Below are 18,207 nucleotides of genomic sequence, written 5' to 3' on the forward strand. Positions count from 1 at the left end.
TCTCAACCAGTTGCCAATCAAGAAATCTTTGAATTCACCTATGACCTAGAAGCCCCTCAAAGCTTTGAAATGTTCCACCTTTTCATGCTGAACCAATGTAAATCTTATGCGTGTGGATTTATGTATTTGCCTGTAACTTCTGTCTCCCTAAAATGCAAAAAATCAAGTTGTAACCAAACCACCAAGGCCAAATGTTCTCAAGATGTTCTGAGATGAAGTCACAGATCACGGTCCTCACATTTGGCTTGGAATAAGCCTCTTTAAATATTTTACAGAGTTTGACCCTTTTTTGTAGACATTGAGCATCTTTTCATATTTTAATAGGCCACCTTTTATTTCTTAATCTGTAAATTGTCTTCATTTTTTGAAATCAAATTTTTATTGGCTTGTTGCATTATTCTTTCTTAATTTCCAGTAGCTTTTTCTATATTAAGATTAGGCATTTCTCTATGAGTTGCAATTTGGGGAGCATTTTTTCATTTGTCTTTTGACTTTTTATGTGGTATTTTGGTCATGTGACAGCTTTGTATTATTAATTTAACACAATTTATCAAAGCTTTATTTTATAACTGTGAACTTTTGCATTATTTTTAGACAATCTTTCCTACTCTAATGTAAAATAACCTATCTTTTCTTCTTAATTATTTTATTTTATTTTTTACATTTATATTATTTTGGAACGTGTAGTAGAGATATGGATCCAGCTTTATCTTTCATCACATGGTTCCTCAATTGTTCCAATACACTTTTGGAAAAAAAAATCTTTATATATTTGAGATGCCACCTTTATCATATACTAAATTCCCATGTGTATCTGGATTCATTTCAAGGCTTATATTTCTATTCCATGTATCCATCTTTCTATCCATGAACCAGTAGCACATCATTGTAGTTAATTGAAGTTTGACCATACTTTTAATTCCTGGTAGAGCCAGACCTTTTCAGAATCTTCTTGGCTCCTTTTGCTTATTTTTCCAAATCAACTTTAGAACTAGTTTGTCTAGTTCTAGGGAAAAAATACCCGGTAAGCTGTTAGTATTTTTAAAAGAATCATATTAATTAAATATTAAATTAATTCTAAAATAATTAAATTAATAAAATTAAATTAATATAAATTTAATATGATTCCAATAAACTAATGAGGGGAAATGACTCATTAGATGTTGAATATTCCTATGCAAGGACATAGTATATCATTCCAAAAAGGTGACAATTATCAAAAAGACATAATACTTTGAATTTCTATGTACCTAAGTACCAAATGATACAGTTTGATAAAGCAAAAGTACAGGAGCTACAAAGAGAAAGAAACAGGAACACACTAACAATAGGGGATTTTAATTTAACATTCTTGGTCCAAGAAAGATCAAGTGGACAAAAATTAACTAAGGAAAATAAGCAACGAGGTAGATATAGGTGGAACTCTGCATCCTAATAACAATAAGTGCATCTTCTTGACAAAAGCACATGATCATTGATGATAACTGACCCCATATTAGCCACCAGAAAAGCTCAATGAATTTGAAGAAGCAAGTATAATACAGGCAATGATCTCCAATCACATCATCACATTGCAATGAAACTAGAAATTAATAACATCAGAAAAAAACTGGGAATTAAAATAAAACCCTTATTTTTGCTATTTAAATTGCAGTCTGTAAACAGCAGCATCTGTTTCTCTTGTGAGCTTGTTAGTAATGCAGAATCCTGGGTGCCCCAGGTCTTAGTTGGCGTCTACATTTTATAAGATACCCAGATAATTTGCAAGTACATTTATGTTTACTCATTGTTTCCAGAAAACAATGAGAAATAAAATACACATCAGAACTGTGAGACATAAGCAGAGCAGAGCTCAGAAAAATTTTAGTCTTAAATACTTATATCAACAAAATTAAAACTAAGTAAATCAATGCATTAAGTATCTAACTTTATTTTATTTTATTTTATTTTATTTTATTTATTTATTTATTTTGGGACGGAGTTTCGCTCTTGTTGCCCAGGCTGGAGTGCAATGGCGCGATCTTGGCTCACCGCAACCTCTGCCTCCCAGGTTCAAGCGATTCTCCTGCCTCAGCCTCCCTAGTAGCTGGGATTACAGGTGTGGGCCACCACACCTGGCTTATTTTGTATTTTTAGTAGAGACAGGGTTTCTCCATGTTGGTCAGGCTGGTCGCAAACTCCCGACTCAGATGATCCGCCCGCCTTGGCCTGCCAAAGTGCTAGGATTACAGGCATGAGCCACCGTGCCCGGCCAAGTATCTAACTTTAAAAAATAGGGAGAAAACACAAAATAAACTAAAAGAAGAAGGAAGAATTTTATAGTGATGGAAGCAAAAATCAATGCATTAGAAGAATTGTAGAATTAACAAATTAGGATCTATTTCTCTTAAAAAATGAATGAAATAGATTGACAAGCAGTAAATTTAATCAAGCAAAAGGGAGGAAGCACAAACAATAAGAAAAGGCAAAAGAAAATAACCTCAACAACTTAATAATTTTAAAAAATAAGGCTATTTGTACAATTCTATACAAGTAGGTTTTCAATATGCAAATGTGAATGAAATTCTAAAACTTGGATGTAATAAATAATTTTCTTGGAAGATATAATTTACTAAAATTAATTCCAGAAGAAACACAATGATTACATGAAACAAAACTATATGGACAAGTTTTCATTAGAGAAATAAAGTATTTAAAGAATAAGCCTCCATCAACTCATAGAACATATATATCAGCCCAGATAGTTTCACATAAGAATTATTACTAAGCTTCCATAGGATAGGTTATTACAATGCTATTTGAACTTTTCCAGGACATATAAAAAGTTGCAAAATTTTTTATATAAGGTGGATAACGTTGACACCAACATGTAACAAAAATTGTACAAAAAAACCTACATGTTAATCTCACTTGCAAATATACATATTACAGTTGTAAATATAACAACAGCAATTAGATTCAAACAGCTCATTAAAAGACTAGTAGCAGGACCACAAAGTTTCCATTTCAGAAATGCCAGGATAGATTAGTATTAGGAAAGGTATTCATTACAAGTCAGCATATGATATGGTTTCACTTTGTGTCCCCACCCAAATCTCATCTCCATTTGTAATCCCCAGGTATTGAGGGAGGGACCTGGTGGGAGGTGATTGAATCATGGCAACAGTTTCCCCCATGCTGTTCTCTTGATAGTGAGGAAGTTCTCATGAGAGCTGATGTTTTGAAAGTGTTTGGAAGTTCCCCCTTGCCCTAGTCTCTCCTGCTGCCGTGTAAGACTTGTCTTGCTTCCCCTTCTGCCATGATTGCAAGTTTCCTGAGGCCTCCCCAGCCATGTGGAACTGTGACTCAATTAAGCCTCTTTCCTTTATAAATTACCCAGTCTTGGGTATTTTTTATAGCAGTGTGAAAACAGACTAATACAACATATTAATAGATTTTAGGAGAAAATTTTTAACATATTGATGCTGAAAAGGCATTTGACCCATTCTTAAAACACTTTTTAAAAAGAAATTTGTAAACAGTAGAATTAGGAACACAGTAAGGATGCTCATTATTACCTTTTCCATTTAATATTGTGCTGGAAGTATTTGCCACTTTTATTGGACAAAAGCATGATACTTCATTTATAAACACTGGGAAAAAGAAGGTTAAATTCTCCCTATTTGTGGATAATATGGCCTGGAAAATCTAAAAGAATCGACTGAAAATCTTTACAAACAAAAAGAGACTGCAGCAAATAAATGGGCTATAAAAATTAATACGTAGGAATCTATAGCTTTCATATATAACAACAGCAATGAGTTGGAAAATGTAGTGGCATAGATGCTTTTGTTTTTATTAGCAACAGAAAATATAAATATCTAAATATAAACTTCACAAGAATCATGTAAACTTACATGAGGAAAAGTTTAAAACACTCCTGAAACACACCAAGAGCGGACATGGAGTCTTCATTCTAACAATCTGTGTATTGGTTTGAATAATTCAATACCCAATGTCTTTAATTATCTAACCATGGTTAAGGCACTCCCTTGCCAAAGATTTTAGGGATGGATGTGTGACCCGTTGCTGGCCATTGAGATGTGAGGCAATATCTGCTGGCATAGGGCAAAAGTCTCTCACCCTTAAATGGAACCCCAAGGAAGATGCAGACTCTTCCTTTCTGCAGATCTTATCATGTCTGGATATGATGCCTGAAACTGCCACAGTTACTTTGCAACCATGCCCAGGGCCAGCACGGTCAGGATGCTAAGTGGAGACCTGGTAGGAACTGGGCTTCTTGGTGACATCCTCGAGGCATTGATTATGTGCTGCTTGGAGCCACCAACCTGTGGACTTCCTGATAACATAAGGTAATATATTTCCTTAATGTTTCAATTAATTTCAAGCAGATTTTTCTGTTTCTTGCTGCCAAAGCATTCTAGCTGGCCCAATCTGTCTATTCCATCCCCAGAACCAGTTTTAATTGCCATTGCTTTATAATGTTTCAGCCTACAATCACCTTCTTTGGGGTGAGAGAATAATTCTTTAACTTTCTTAATTTCTTCCTTAAGTGATTTAACCATGTGATTCCAATTGAGTCAATTCTAGTCATCTAAATTTCTTAATACAATTTCCATCTTAAATGATTTTCAAAATAAAAGCACTTAATTATACTGTAATTTTTAAAAACTTTTATATAAGTTCTAGCCATTTTTTTCTTTCCTTTTTTCATTTTGATTATGGCATTTTAAAATTAGATTTTCCAGCAGCTGGGCCATTTTACTGATTCTTTTCAAAGACGTTCTCTGAGATTCACTATCTATTCATGCCATTGTGCGTTTTCCTGCTGCTAATTTTACTTTTTGTTTTTATATTTTAATATATTTATTTCTGCTTCCTTTGTTCCTTTTTTCTTCACTTTTTAGTTGAAATTATTTTCTCTTGCTTTTACTTTTAAAAATGTAACATGCATTTAATACTACAATTTATTGAGAACAACTTTACGCATATTCCATAATCTTAAATGTGAATTATTCTGATTCTCATTATTTTTCAATTAGCTGTTTTCAAATCCCTTTATTTCCTCATTAATCAGAAATTTATTCAAAAGAGTATTCATAAAATTTGTTTAATCTTTTGTTGTTGTTTCCAGTTGTTATACTTTCCTTTGAGAACATAGATTGCATATATTCATCTTTCTGACTTATGATTTTTGTTATTATTTTTCTCATGCCTGACTACATTTTTCAATACTTTTTAATATCCTGTGGCTAATTAGCAGGAAACTGTATTTTGCAACGCAAATACAATATGCTTTATAAGATAAATAATAACTGCATAAGACAAAGTTTGAAATAGTTATTAATTATAGTTTACTAATTATATTGTTTCAATCATTCATGTCATCATTTTTATATACTTTATGATGACAAATATGAAAGTTTGAGGAATTAGTGTTGGGAAATTCTAAGGGTAGAACCCATAGTTAGGCTTAGGCCTAAGAGTAGTGGAGTGGCTGTGCATGACCACAGATTTGTTGTGATGGGAATTTGCAGGAGGGAGGAAGCTGCTTGTGAATGGCAAAAAAACACAAAGTACTATAACTACTGTGTTTAACGGCCCTGCTGGGAGAACAGAGGAGCTGCTCAGTAACTGTTTGCTCCATGAAATAATAAATTTTTTCCCCCTCAAACTGTTTGGTTGAAAAATGGGCTATGCCAAAGGCAGTGAAGTTAATTATCCCCAGGAGAGGCAGGCTAGGTAAGAAAAGATGGCCCTGGGGACCATGTTGGATTGCCCTGAGTTGCTGGATGTTCCAGGAGGAGGGAAGAGATGATTTAGCTTGAGCTTTTCAAACATGTTTTGTTTGTTTGTTTTGCTTCAAGGATCCAGAAAGTGGGATTTTTTTTTAAATCCCAGAAGTTATTTTACGGGGATTGGTGTGCATTGGACAAACAGCATGAAGAACCAGGAGCAGACACTGGCCCTGTCCATAGCACTTAGGCCTTACTACTTCACAGAGCCCCTTCCCACTCTTGACTGCCAGTATCTCTATTCTGTGTGAGGGTTCTCTCTAAATTCCCTGAAGGCCACTCTACCCACACTCATCGTAGGGCAGCTGCAAGGGCTGGTATCAACTCTTCTGGGAGCAGACCTCAACCATGGTCTGCCCAGAACTACTGTACAGCTATCCTAGATCTTCTGCTTCTTGGGTGAGAAAACTCTAAGGCATGTGCTCTACACTTGCAATCAGAGGTCTCCACTAGAGATGAAGCTCTGGTTGCCCTTTGTAGTAGCTGTCCTAAGAATGAACCCTTTACTGGCTCCCTTCCCATCCCTGTCTCACTGCCTCACTTCAATGCTGGTGTTCTCTGCACCTTCCAAATTCACAACTTGCACTTGAAACCTTGTCTCAAGGTCTTCTTCTGGGAAAAACTAAATTAAGACAAATAATAATTTTTATTATTTGTTTTAGCCTCATCAATCTTTGTAAACAAGCATTGCTGGGAGAGGAAGGTGAAAAATGTTCAAGCTAAGATGTCATGCTTGGCTGCCTCCAAGAGTATTTGAAAATGTCATTCAAGTCGTTTATCACACTGTGCTTGAAGAGGCCAACTATGGGTTCTGCGTTAGAATTTCCCAACACCAATTCCTCAAAAGCCCTAACTCAGTCAACTGGCTGTACTGAGACCAATGAGCAATCTTCCAGCCATTAGTTACCACGAATAATATTAAATTACAATTCCTCCTGCAGTTGTAACTTTCTCCTGGACTAACTGGTTGAGAAGATAAATAGGCTTTCTCAGGCCAACTAGGAGGGAGTCCCAGCCATGGGCACAAAGATATGTTTATTACAATTATGATCATGGCTGTTTTCAGAGAGGCAGAGGCTAGATTTAAAGTAATAATAATAATAATACTGTCCAGAAATTATTGTGGTGTAGAAGATCCTGCATCTTCTTCCAGGAGGCCTTACCTGAGACTCTCATCTGGACTTTGTGTTCTTCTTCCGTGAGCCCATGCTGCCTTATCTTTCCCACATTATGGTCCTTAACCTATTAAATTTTAATGAGTATTTTATTTATCTAAACCCCGAGCATACTTGAAAGCAGTGATTATATCTTTCATTGTTATATCCTTGGCATAGGGCTTGGCACTTAAAGGCATAGACAAATAAATAAATAGAGAACTGTAACAGGTAAAACCAATGAGAAAAGACCCTCGAGACAAAAACTGGAAAATATTTGAATTACCATTTAAAAAATACTCCTTTAAGTCTCATGATTTAAAACAAAATCAGATTATCAATAAGGGTTCAAGTTTGTGAATGCTATCTTTTATATTCAGAGAACTTGTTATTTATGTGGAAATGCAAGAGAAGGCCAATTTGAGACATTCAGAGGCTTGAGAACATCCCATCAGAAATCCTTGAAAAAATTACTTTAAATTGTATGCTAAATAACAGAAAGATAAAGCAAAATATAAGCACATAAAAGGATGTGATGTCATAACAGATGAGTAACAACAATAAAGAAACAGGGAAGTGTAAATAATTTCAAAGGCCTACTTTATAAAATAGAATACAGAGGGAATAAATAGAGTTAAAGTGTTCTAAAGACCTTGAATTTTACAAACAGTGGTAAAATATTAATGTATATTATATTCTAAATCATGAATAAATGCTGTGATTTTGAGGGTAACATTTAAAAATAGTAAAAGATCATATAACTAACAAGCCAATAGAGGGATAAAACAGATCAATAAAAATACTTGATTGGTCAAAAAAAGGCAAGAAAGGGATAAAAAGAAACAAACAGAGGTGGGCTAATAATAGAAAATAAATTGTAGAATAACAGATTTAAACTCAAATATATCATTAAATATGAATATGTAGACTTATTCCATTTAAAAGAGAAAGATTGTGAAATTAGACTTAAAAACTATTGCTTATAAGAAACACACTTTAAGTATAAAGATACAGAAAGATTAAAAGTAAGAGGATTATAAGATATAATCCAACATGCATACCTTAAATAAAAGACCAAGGATGTCGGTATATGGTTATTGCATAAAGTAGATAAGAGATAAAGAGAAATATTTTATAATGACAGAAGAGTCAGTCCAACAGGACCATAAAACAATTCTAAATTTTTATGTACCCAATAATATAGCTTCAAAATATCTAAAGCAAACACTGACAGAAATGAAAGGAGAAATAGACAAATCCATAGTTAGAGTTGGGGATTTTTAGCACAGCACTGTATCCAGCAGCTGCAGAATGCACATTCTTTTTAAGTCCACATGGAACATTTGTCAAAATTGATTATATGCTGCTGGGATATAAAGCAATTTTCAACAAAATTCAAAGTATCAACATCCTAAAAAGTATGATCTCTAAGCACAGGGGAATAAAGCTAGAAAACAATAATACTTGGCCAGTTGGTTGCATTTGGAGTGAAAGATGGAGAAAGGTGATGGGAGCAACTGGCTGGAGTGAATCATAGAAGAGTCACATCAGAGAAAAGAGCAGCTTTTGACAGATATGTATCCAAGGACAGTGCCCTGTAGACTGAAATGCAGAGCTCCTGGAAGTAAGGAATGCAGCAGAGGATGGGTCTGCGGGTCTCAATGGCAAACTTAATCAGCTGTGTAAGTTTGTGGAGAGCCAGTCACTATGGAGAAATCCTGGCTATGCTTCCACATTGCTGAAATTGCCTATCAGATAAATTTTCCTTCCACCATAAAGCAAATCTTTCTTCTATTCAATGTCTATTTGCCTAGTGGAAAGCATCACACTATTAAATTCCTCCACTCTCTAAGGTCGTCTCTATTGAATATTTCTGAAGGTCACCAGTATGCAGCCTAATGGGCCATTTGATTTTAGGCTACTGAAAAAGTATTACATGCATCTTCCAAATGTGGTCACAGTTCATAAGTAGCTTAGGCACCAATAGAAGCTAGGTTGGAGTGCAACTTGTTCCATCAGGGGTGCTGCATTTTAGGAAGTGAGGACTCCAGATAATGCCGTGGTAGGTTTCAACATGTTTTCATTTTTTAACTGTCAAATTCCAGCTTCTCCTTGATTTTTCAGGCTTAAAATGAAACATCAGAAATGGAAAGATATTAACCCTATATTCAGGCTCCCTCTGCCCTTCATTCCCCACTACAGAACTTTCCTGAAATTCTTTTCACAGACTGCCATGCTCTGTACAAGGTAAAGAGTTAAAAAATATTTCCTGAGTTGACTTAAAGAATGCTGAATACACTTGCTCGTTTCATTAATGCTTTAGTGGCATATTACATCCAAAGAGTTTAGCCACTGTAGCTTGTTTCCTGGTTTGACAAAGTATTGCTTATTATTTGAATTTATGAGAAATTTCAAACTAGGTCTTCCAGTGTGATAAAGAAATAAGCCAACTCATACTTGCATAGAGAGATTTCTTTCCACCCCAAAGGTTCCTGAAAGATAATCCCAAAACAAGAATCCTTGGAAATTTTCCTACTTAAATGAGAAAGGCTTTGGATAGCCAGATCACAATTAATGACTGCATTGGTTTGCCCAGAGGCAATGGGGCTTGTTAATTGAGACACAGAGATCCTGGAGGGTGGCCCGATTACCACATGGCCGCTAGAAATATTGTGAATGGCAATAACCAGGCTATTTTAGCCTGGTTTCATTCTGATGTGATTCCTATGGCAAATTCCATGAAAAAGGATGTGTCCCCACGGCCCAGAGCCTCCCTGCTCCTCCCCAGGCTCCAGGCCCAGGATCCCATAGCCACGGTTCTGGCCTCAGCTACTCCCTTCTTGCACGGGGTTGGTTCCTTCCCAGGTGAGCCCTCTTCTTTACAGTATCATTCCCCAGGCCACACCCAGAATGGAGATCTTTCAAATAAGAAAGGTTTCTGGAGGTAACCAGGTCTCCATATTCTTCATCACACAACTCACCCCACCAACTTCCCCGCACCATACATAGCACCCTTCAGCACATATGAAAACACTTGTTTGCCAACTGGGCTAACTCTGGTTGGTCCACAAGGTTATTTGGTACTAATTATCCATAGAACGAATACACTACCCCCAACGACCTACCTTACTTTCATCTCCTACTTGGCTTTCTACCAGGGAGACTTGGTACCTGCAGAAGGTGATGAAACAGGCAAACGTTGTTTGTCAATAATCACAATGAGGAAGGGACTTTGTCACTTCCATCCATCCAGAGGCTCCATAGTGCTTTGGACATTTCAGAGTTGGACTTGACAACATTAGGAATTATTTCTCTTCCTCCTTCTGGGCCGGTTCTGAGCTATGCAGACAGCTCTTAATCCACATTCCAGACCATCCGAAGCTTTGGCTGCTGTTCTAGGTTTGGCTCTGCTGTGCATAGAGTAGGAAAGAGAAGAGTAGGCAGAGGTGCAAAGATCTTGCTCCTGAATGCTAAATAAAGGAAATGCAGCATTTTTTTGCCTAATAAGATCAATGCAATAATCCAAGTTTCAACTCCATGAAATATTAACCCTCCGGCAGAACAGATAAACAAAAGGAAAAGAAAAGAATATTAACAATGTTGGGAATAGGAGACAATGAGTAACTATAACGTGCAAGGGTAAAAGCTCACTCTATCTGCCTAATAAAATAGAATCATTTGTTTGAAATTCACATGTGGTTATGCTTGATTTATCTTTAGCCAATCCAATTAAAAGCCCAGTTCCAGAGCTTTCCTCCAGAGTGACTTAAGTGGTCAAACCATAATACATTCAGTTTGCAAGTGGCATAATTAAAACAAGATGCCAGTTAAGGGCCTTGGAGTGGCTTAAAATAAAATCTGACTCCTCATCAAAAAATGTACACAAAGGTATAGTGTGGCAGGAAGCAAGAAGGGAAATTCAGACTTTCGTTCTATTCCTGGCTGTGTCTCTAACTTACTCCAGACTGCGTGCCAGTCACTTAACTCTTTAGGCTCTGCTCTGCTGTCTTATCTTTGAAAATAATGAGGAGCAACTCTCCTGCCGGCCTCCAGCAATACTGCAAGGCTCAAAGGAAACACATCTAGAAATATACAGAAAGAAAACAGCCCATTTAACATAGGGTATGATAGTATTGATTACAAATGTTGGTTATTCGTGGTAACGGGGATGGTGGCATTTGTAAAAACGTTGCTGGGATATCACTGCAGGGAGTGTAGAAGGAAGCCAGGCTTGGTGTCTATTAAATTCCAGGAAAGCATAAAATAAAAATATTTTACTGATAGAACAAATAATTGAAGTGACATAGAAATGGCAACAGTCTAAAGTCCTAAAAAGGTTGGTTTGGTCCTTATGAGTGTAGTTTTGTAACTGTGGCCATGCTGGTGAACCAAGGGGGAGACCAGGTCTGGGAGCCTTTGAGCCTGAAGAGGGAGGAGAAAACAAGGAAAGGATACGATGGGCAATCCTTAGCCAGCTCAGAGGATAAGATCTGGATCCCTTTAGGGAGGGCATGGATGAAGCAACTGAGTGGTTCATTTTCATAAGAGTTAAGCAGTGATATAACCAAAGATTGAACTATTTGTATCGAGGTTCCGTACCAAACTAGTGCTCCTTAACTTTCTAAGATCATGGACTCCCTTGAGAATCTTACGAAAGCCAGAGAACCCTCATCTTGGGAGGCTGGGGCAGGAGGAAGTGCACACACATGTCTCTACAATTCTGCTCCTGGAAGCCCGGGTGTGGAATGTTGGTTTGGAAACCCCAAACCAAGCCTTCATCTCCAAGAATGCAACATTCATTTTTATTTGTCTTTCTAGCATTTCTTAAGCAGAGTTCCTGGGCTGCTCATGGAATTGACCAAGTTCTGATGAAAGAAATGATCTAAAGTGTTATCTACTTTGGCTGACAGCACTAATTGACATTCACCAAAGTAAGGCTAGCCTCATTGATCCTTCATAAAGAGGGCAAGGATGTTTATGTTCTCAAAAGTTCATGGGCAAGAAGGCTGCAGGTTGCCAAGCATACCCTCACCTAGCCCCAGGTTTGGCCCAAATGGAAACATCACCCTTTCATGAGTGTTCCTACTTTAACTGAACCATCTTCTAACTCAGGCCTTAAAGAAGGTCCACATGGCCCTGCTGGGCTGCTCCCCAATCCTGGTCTCAACCAAAGGTCCAAGGTGAACATATGACTGGAGGAACCAACTTCCTCAGGAGTCCCCTTGCCCTCACAGACTCATTTCCACCTCCAGGCCTTTGCATGGGCTGTCCCTTCCACCTAAAATGCTGTCTCCCCTTCTCTATGTGAGTAAAAATGGGAATTAATGGGTACAAACCCAAACGTAAGTGCGTTGAGCATGTGATTTAATAGCCTAAGGGGTAATTCAATACAAATATCACAAAATCAAAAAATCTTAAAATCTTAGGGTTGGTTTACTCCTCAAAGGTCATTTACTCCAACTATCTAACACTAATACTAATATTTATAGCAATAAATAGTGATAATGACATTAATACTAATATCACCAGTAATATCATTACTAACACAAGCAATCCATCTCCTTGAGTACTGATCTGGCTCATCAGTTGTTTTTCTTTTTGCAGGACAATTAATTCTTATACACACACACACACACACACACACACACACACACACACACGCCAGGTATTTAGACAAAGAAACATAGCATAAGACTAAAGTTGCATGACCTTAAAAAAATAAAGAAAGAATTGAAAATAGTTACTATTTCTGTGTACTCCAGGATGACCTTGAGGGAAAAACAGACAAGAATCTGATAATTTAGAACCATGCGTGCACACATACACCCCTCATTTTGTTCTGGGAAGGTAGCCCAAACCTTTCAGTTTTTGTGCTAATATGGCCCAAGAAGAAGGGAGAAGGGGTCTTAATGAAAGCTTTGTTTTGTAATAAAAAGAATGAAATCAGATCCACCATTTACAAATGACTTTGCATGTCACAAAAGTCTCTTCCTATCCTTCAAATGCAGAGACTTGATCAAATACTCAGTCAAATGCTCATCCACCTGCCATTTAAACGCTCAGATTTTCTTCCCAGAAACTCCTCTCCACCACCACTAGAGCCTGTTAACTCAGGTGTTTCCAAAAGCAAGGGTTTCCTCCTTCTCTCACCCCAGAAAGCTAGCAGAAGTCATCCCTCCATCTTTGCATCCCCTGGGTCCTTCCAGAGATCAAAGAGCACAGAGATGCAATACTTCCCGTCACTCACCCTGAAAACATCTCCCTACAGGATTGGATTCCACCACCAACCTTTGGCCCAAGTTGGCACAGATGTGGGGCATGTGTCACAGCCATGCGGCAAAAGCAGCAGCTCATTTTTCTAGCTCACATTTTTCACTGTAGACAAAGTATCTGGAAATGGCTCAGGCATCACATTATTGTGAAAGCTGTCATGCTAAAGGCTAAGCTCTCAGTGTCAATTTATGAAAGGCAGCAGACAATTATTTGCTAGGTGCAAGGTGTGCATGGATGTGTATAAACATGTCTGGAGGTTATTTCTGATGATGGAGAGGCATGTTTTTCCATAAAGGAATAGTCTAAAATAAGGAAAAATATTACTAATGTAGTCCATGTGGAGACAGTTTCTCTGTTCAATTACTTTTTACCTGATGTTTTGCTATGCTCTCCACAATGTGCTTTACCCATGCTTAGCATTTCAGGGTGCCGTCCCACAACACTGTCTCACCTTCTCCTCCTCATAGACTTGTGAGGTTAGCTCCCCTTCACATGTGAAGAATGAGGTATCTCAGAAACCCCAACTCTACTAAAAAGACAAAAATTAGCTGAGCGTAGTGGCACATGCCTGAAACCCCAGCTTGGGAGGCCAAGGCAGGGGAATCACTTGAAACAAGGAGGAGGAGGTTGCAGTGAACAGAGATTGTGCCACCGCACTCCAGCCTGGGCAACAGAGTGAGACTCTGTCTCAAAAAAAAAATAGATTGAGGAGAGCGACATATAACTGCACTGTAGGACACATAGCTGGGCTAGAGGACATGCACGTCCTTCTTAGAGTCTGGGCCATATATCATAGTAAATAGTGAGTTTAATAGAGGTCCATTGCCTGAATAATCTTTGGGAGAACCTCTTAGACAATACTCCATTGTAACATTGAAAGGACATGCAGTCATTCTTTTGCCTTATTTCCAAGTTTTGTATAAGTTTTCATAACAGCTTTTAATCAAATCCTTATCTCTTATTTATAAAATAAGAAATACAACTATTGTAAGATGATATCTGTAGTTATAATACTGATTGTACCAAGTGACAATTAATTATTTTCTAAGCCCAGATTCTAAAGAACTGGGCTTTTGTTCAATCTGCAAAACCACCTCCTGGTGGGTCCAGGCTTTCCAGAAGTGTGTGCATGCCACAAACATTCAGTATTAGCCTCCCCAGGGGTAAGGACATGAGGCCTCTGTTTGGCAGAGCCAAAAAGGGTCTCTCTCATTATCTCTGAACCCTGAGCTGCTTGGAGCTGCCTGGAGCAGAGCCCCAGTTGATGCCCTGTGGGAGGTCTTCTGACTTCTGTCTCAGAAGATGACCAAGGCCTCCATGGTCTCCCTCCACCCAGAATCCCAGTCTGGAGCTGGCTCTGGGGGTATGGTTGTGCTCTATAAGGCTGTCTCTCAACCCTAAACCTCCCAACCTCCTTCAATGTCACAGGCCTATGATGACAACACCCAACACTTCATACTTCTCAGAGTCTTTTCTCTCATTTCCTTTCCCATCATATGCCTCTCTCTTCCTTTTCTCCCTCCCATTTCCCTTATCTCCTTTCTCTTCATCTTTATCTCTCTTTTCCCCCTAGCCCTTTTACATTTGATCGTGTCACTCTCTTGGTTAGGATAAAACACAAACCCCTCCCCATGGTTTCAGTACCTGCTATTCCCTCTGCTTGAGACACCATTCCCTCTAAAATTCCTTGGGCTAGTTCCTACTCTCTGCTAGGTTTCTGCTTAAACCTCATTTTTCTCAAAAAGAATTTCTCCTAACACCATCACCCCACGTTAAGTCCTTTCCTTTTATTCTTTCTCATATTGCTCTGTTTCTATAGCTATAGCAATTATCTCCATTTTAATTAAATATGTATTTGCATGTTTATGTGTTTAATATCTGCATAGGCATTTGGATGGAGACTTTGTGGGCAGGACTACACCTGTGTTTTCTGCCACCTCTGTGGTCTGCACCCACCACTGTGCCCAATTCATAGTAGATGCTCCGTCGCTGGTAAACCTGGTGCCTCACCCACTCCTTCTTCACTGCCACCTTCTCTAAGCTCACATCTTACTTCTAGAATATGATGGGATCACTGGCAGTAAGGAACGTCCAGCTCGAAGAAGGCAGCTGGGAAAGATATTTTAAACACACTCAGACCCCCAGTGCCTGACATCATCCCTGTTTCCCTGTTAGCATTACCAGTTCCCAGTATTTGTTGAATGAATGAATTATTAATATTATTCTACCTAATTTCAAAGCACTATTTCAGACATTAAACCATGAAATACTAGGAACAAAACCACTTGACACAGAGAGAAAAATGATGTATCTACAGGAAAGACTGCTCTGGACATCGCTAGACCCAGGGTTTGGGGTAGGATGAACAGTCAGTCATTCAAGCATTGGTGGTAACCAGGGAGCACACTCTGGAGCCACAGCAAGGCCAACAAGGGCAGGTGACTTGTAGGAAGAGCAAGGCCGGGAGGCAGTTCCAGCTCCTCCACCCCTCCTAGTGACCTTGGGCAGCTCACCTCACCTCCTCTATCACTGTCTTTCCAGCTGGATTCCTCAAAGGACCATTCTGAAGAACAAGTAAAAAAAGTCTATGTTTAAGGTATGATGAAAACCATCATCAGTCAGTAGAAGGTGAGAATGAGAGCAGGTTGACCTTCAGACCTGTGGATCAAGAAGAAACATGAGATGACCACAGGTGAGCCATAAATCACACCAAAGTAGCTGTTGATGAAAATAGTCTAACTCTGTAAAATACTTGAGATTTATTCTGAGCCAAATATGAGTGACCATGGCCCATGACATAGCCCTCAGGAGGTCCTGAGAACATGTGCCCAAGGTGGTTGGTGCAGCTTGGTTTTATATATTTTAGGAAGGCATGAGACATCAATCAAATACATTTAAGAAATACATTGGTTTGATTCAGAAAGGCAGGACAACTCAAAGTGGGGGCTTCCAGGCTATAGGGAAATTTAAACATTTTCTGGTTGACAATTGGTTGAGTTTGTCTAAAGACCTGGGATCCATAGAAAGGAATGTTCAGATTAAAGATAAAGGGTTGTGGAGACCATGTTTAGTGTGCAGAGGAAGCTCTCAGATAGCAGACTTCAGAGAGAGCAGGTTGTAAATTGTTTCTTATCGGACTTAGAAAGGGTGCCTGGCTCTTAGTTGATTATCTCCTGGATTTGGAAAGAAAGGAAGGAAAACAAAGGGGGAAGGGGATTCTCTATAGAATGTGGATTTTTCCCACAAGAGATTTTGCAGGGCAATTTCAAGGTATGTCAAGGGAATATATTTTGGGGTTAAGTATTTTTTCCATTTCTCATAATGTTAAGCCAGAGTCAGATTGAAAGTAAGTCACAATATATAGGGTCAAATAAAACCCATCAGATGAGAATTTATGGTTTGTAGGGCATGACTCCATAGACTCCTTAGGTAGGAATTTGGGTAAGATAAAAAATCAGTGCTTAGTCCTCATAGCCAAGGGACGAGGTAAAAGTTCACTTACAGCAAGAGGTTCCTGTGAAGACCTAACAACATGACTCCTTCCAGTTGTTGTTGTTTATTGTTGAGACAGGGTCCCTCTTTGTCACCCAGGCTGGAGTGCAGTGGTACGATCATAGCTCACTGCAGCCTCCAACTCCTGGGCTCAAGTGATCCTCCCACCTCAGCCTCCTGAGTAGCTAAGACTAGAGGCGTGAGCCATCACACCTGGCTAACTTTATTATTTTGGTAGAGATGGGTCTCTTTGTTGCCAGACTGGTCTCAAACTACTGGCCTCAAGCAATCCTCTCACCTTGGCCTCCCAAAGCACTGGAATTACAGACGTGAGCCACTGCACCCGGCCTCCTTTGAGTTTTCTTTTTCTTCTTTTTTTTAATTTTAATTTTAATTTTTTATTATATTTTAAGTTCTGGGGTACATGTGCACAATGTGAAGGTTTGTTACATAGGTATGCGTGTGCCATGTTGGTTTGCTGCACCCACCAAATTGACTGCTTGCTTAGTTTGAGTCACTGTCAAGCCAGCCCCAGACGTCTATAAATAATACCAAGAGCTTTTCCCTTCTTGGTGCCTGCGGTTTGCCAAGTTTCTCCTCTGCCAATGAGCCCTGTGAATTGGCCACCACTTGCCAATACCTCAACTATGATGTTCCATTCCATTACCCTTTGCCTCAGAAGAAGCAGGTGGGAGCCAAGTCCGCACACTGGCTCTGAGGGAGCTCATAACCAATGTGTCTGGATTGGTTAGAATCAGCTCAAATTAAAAGTGTGTGTGTTTGCCTTTGGGTTAGATTTTGTTTGTTTTTTTTAAAGAATCTGGGAAAGTAACCAAGAATTTTGTAAAAAAACAAAACAAACCAAAAAACTTTTCCTAAAGGGGCACCTCAAACCTGGTTCTCACAGCACAGAAAAATGACACAGAAGGTACCATTTGTTCACCCACTGATTTCATCCTCCAGTGAGCAAGGTATAAAAATGCCATCTTCTCAACCATTTTTATGTTTGTAGGGTTTCCATGGGGAGGGATTTGCCCCGTCTTTCTTCGTTCCTCTGAATGTAATGAAAACAACAGTTGTTTTTCTCTCATGTCTTTGAATCGCCACCTTCCCTGATGCAATGCAGATGTGTTGGTTTTGCAAATAAAAAAGGATGTGTGGGTGTCAGAGCATTGACCCCGGGAGATGTACCCTGAAATGCTGAGGCTGTGGAGGAAGGAGGGGCTGGCAGGACCCTCTGGCTAAAAAATAAAAGTAGAACTACATCAAACTAAAAAGCTTCTGCACAATCAACTGAAACAATCAACTAAATGGAAAGGCAACCTATGGAAGTGGAGAAAATATTTGCAGCCCATATATCTGATAACATCCAAACTATATAAGAACTCATACAACTTAATAGCAAAAAATAATAATAATAAGTAATCTGATTTAAAGATGGACAAAGGACCTGAATAGCTATTTCTCCAAAGATAAACGAACAGCCAACAGGT

General features: G+C 38.6%; 1 long non-coding RNA gene across 1 annotated transcript; it reads right to left on the reverse strand.

Annotated features, from left to right (window-relative positions):
• Nucleotides 1–7,532: 7,532 nt before the first annotated feature.
• On the reverse strand, nt 7,533–10,609 carry LOC124904862 (uncharacterized). Its single transcript, XR_007067505.1, has 2 exons — nt 10,075–10,609; nt 7,533–9,074 (listed from the first exon to the last, which is right to left on the reverse strand). It is a non-coding gene; the product is annotated as an uncharacterized LOC124904862 (long non-coding RNA).
• Between the last annotated feature and the right edge of the window lie 7,598 nt (nt 10,610–18,207).

The sequence above is a fragment of the Homo sapiens genome, chromosome 20 (assembly GCF_000001405.40).
Source record: "Homo sapiens chromosome 20, GRCh38.p14 Primary Assembly".
Classification (NCBI taxonomy): domain Eukaryota; kingdom Metazoa; phylum Chordata; class Mammalia; order Primates; family Hominidae; genus Homo; species Homo sapiens.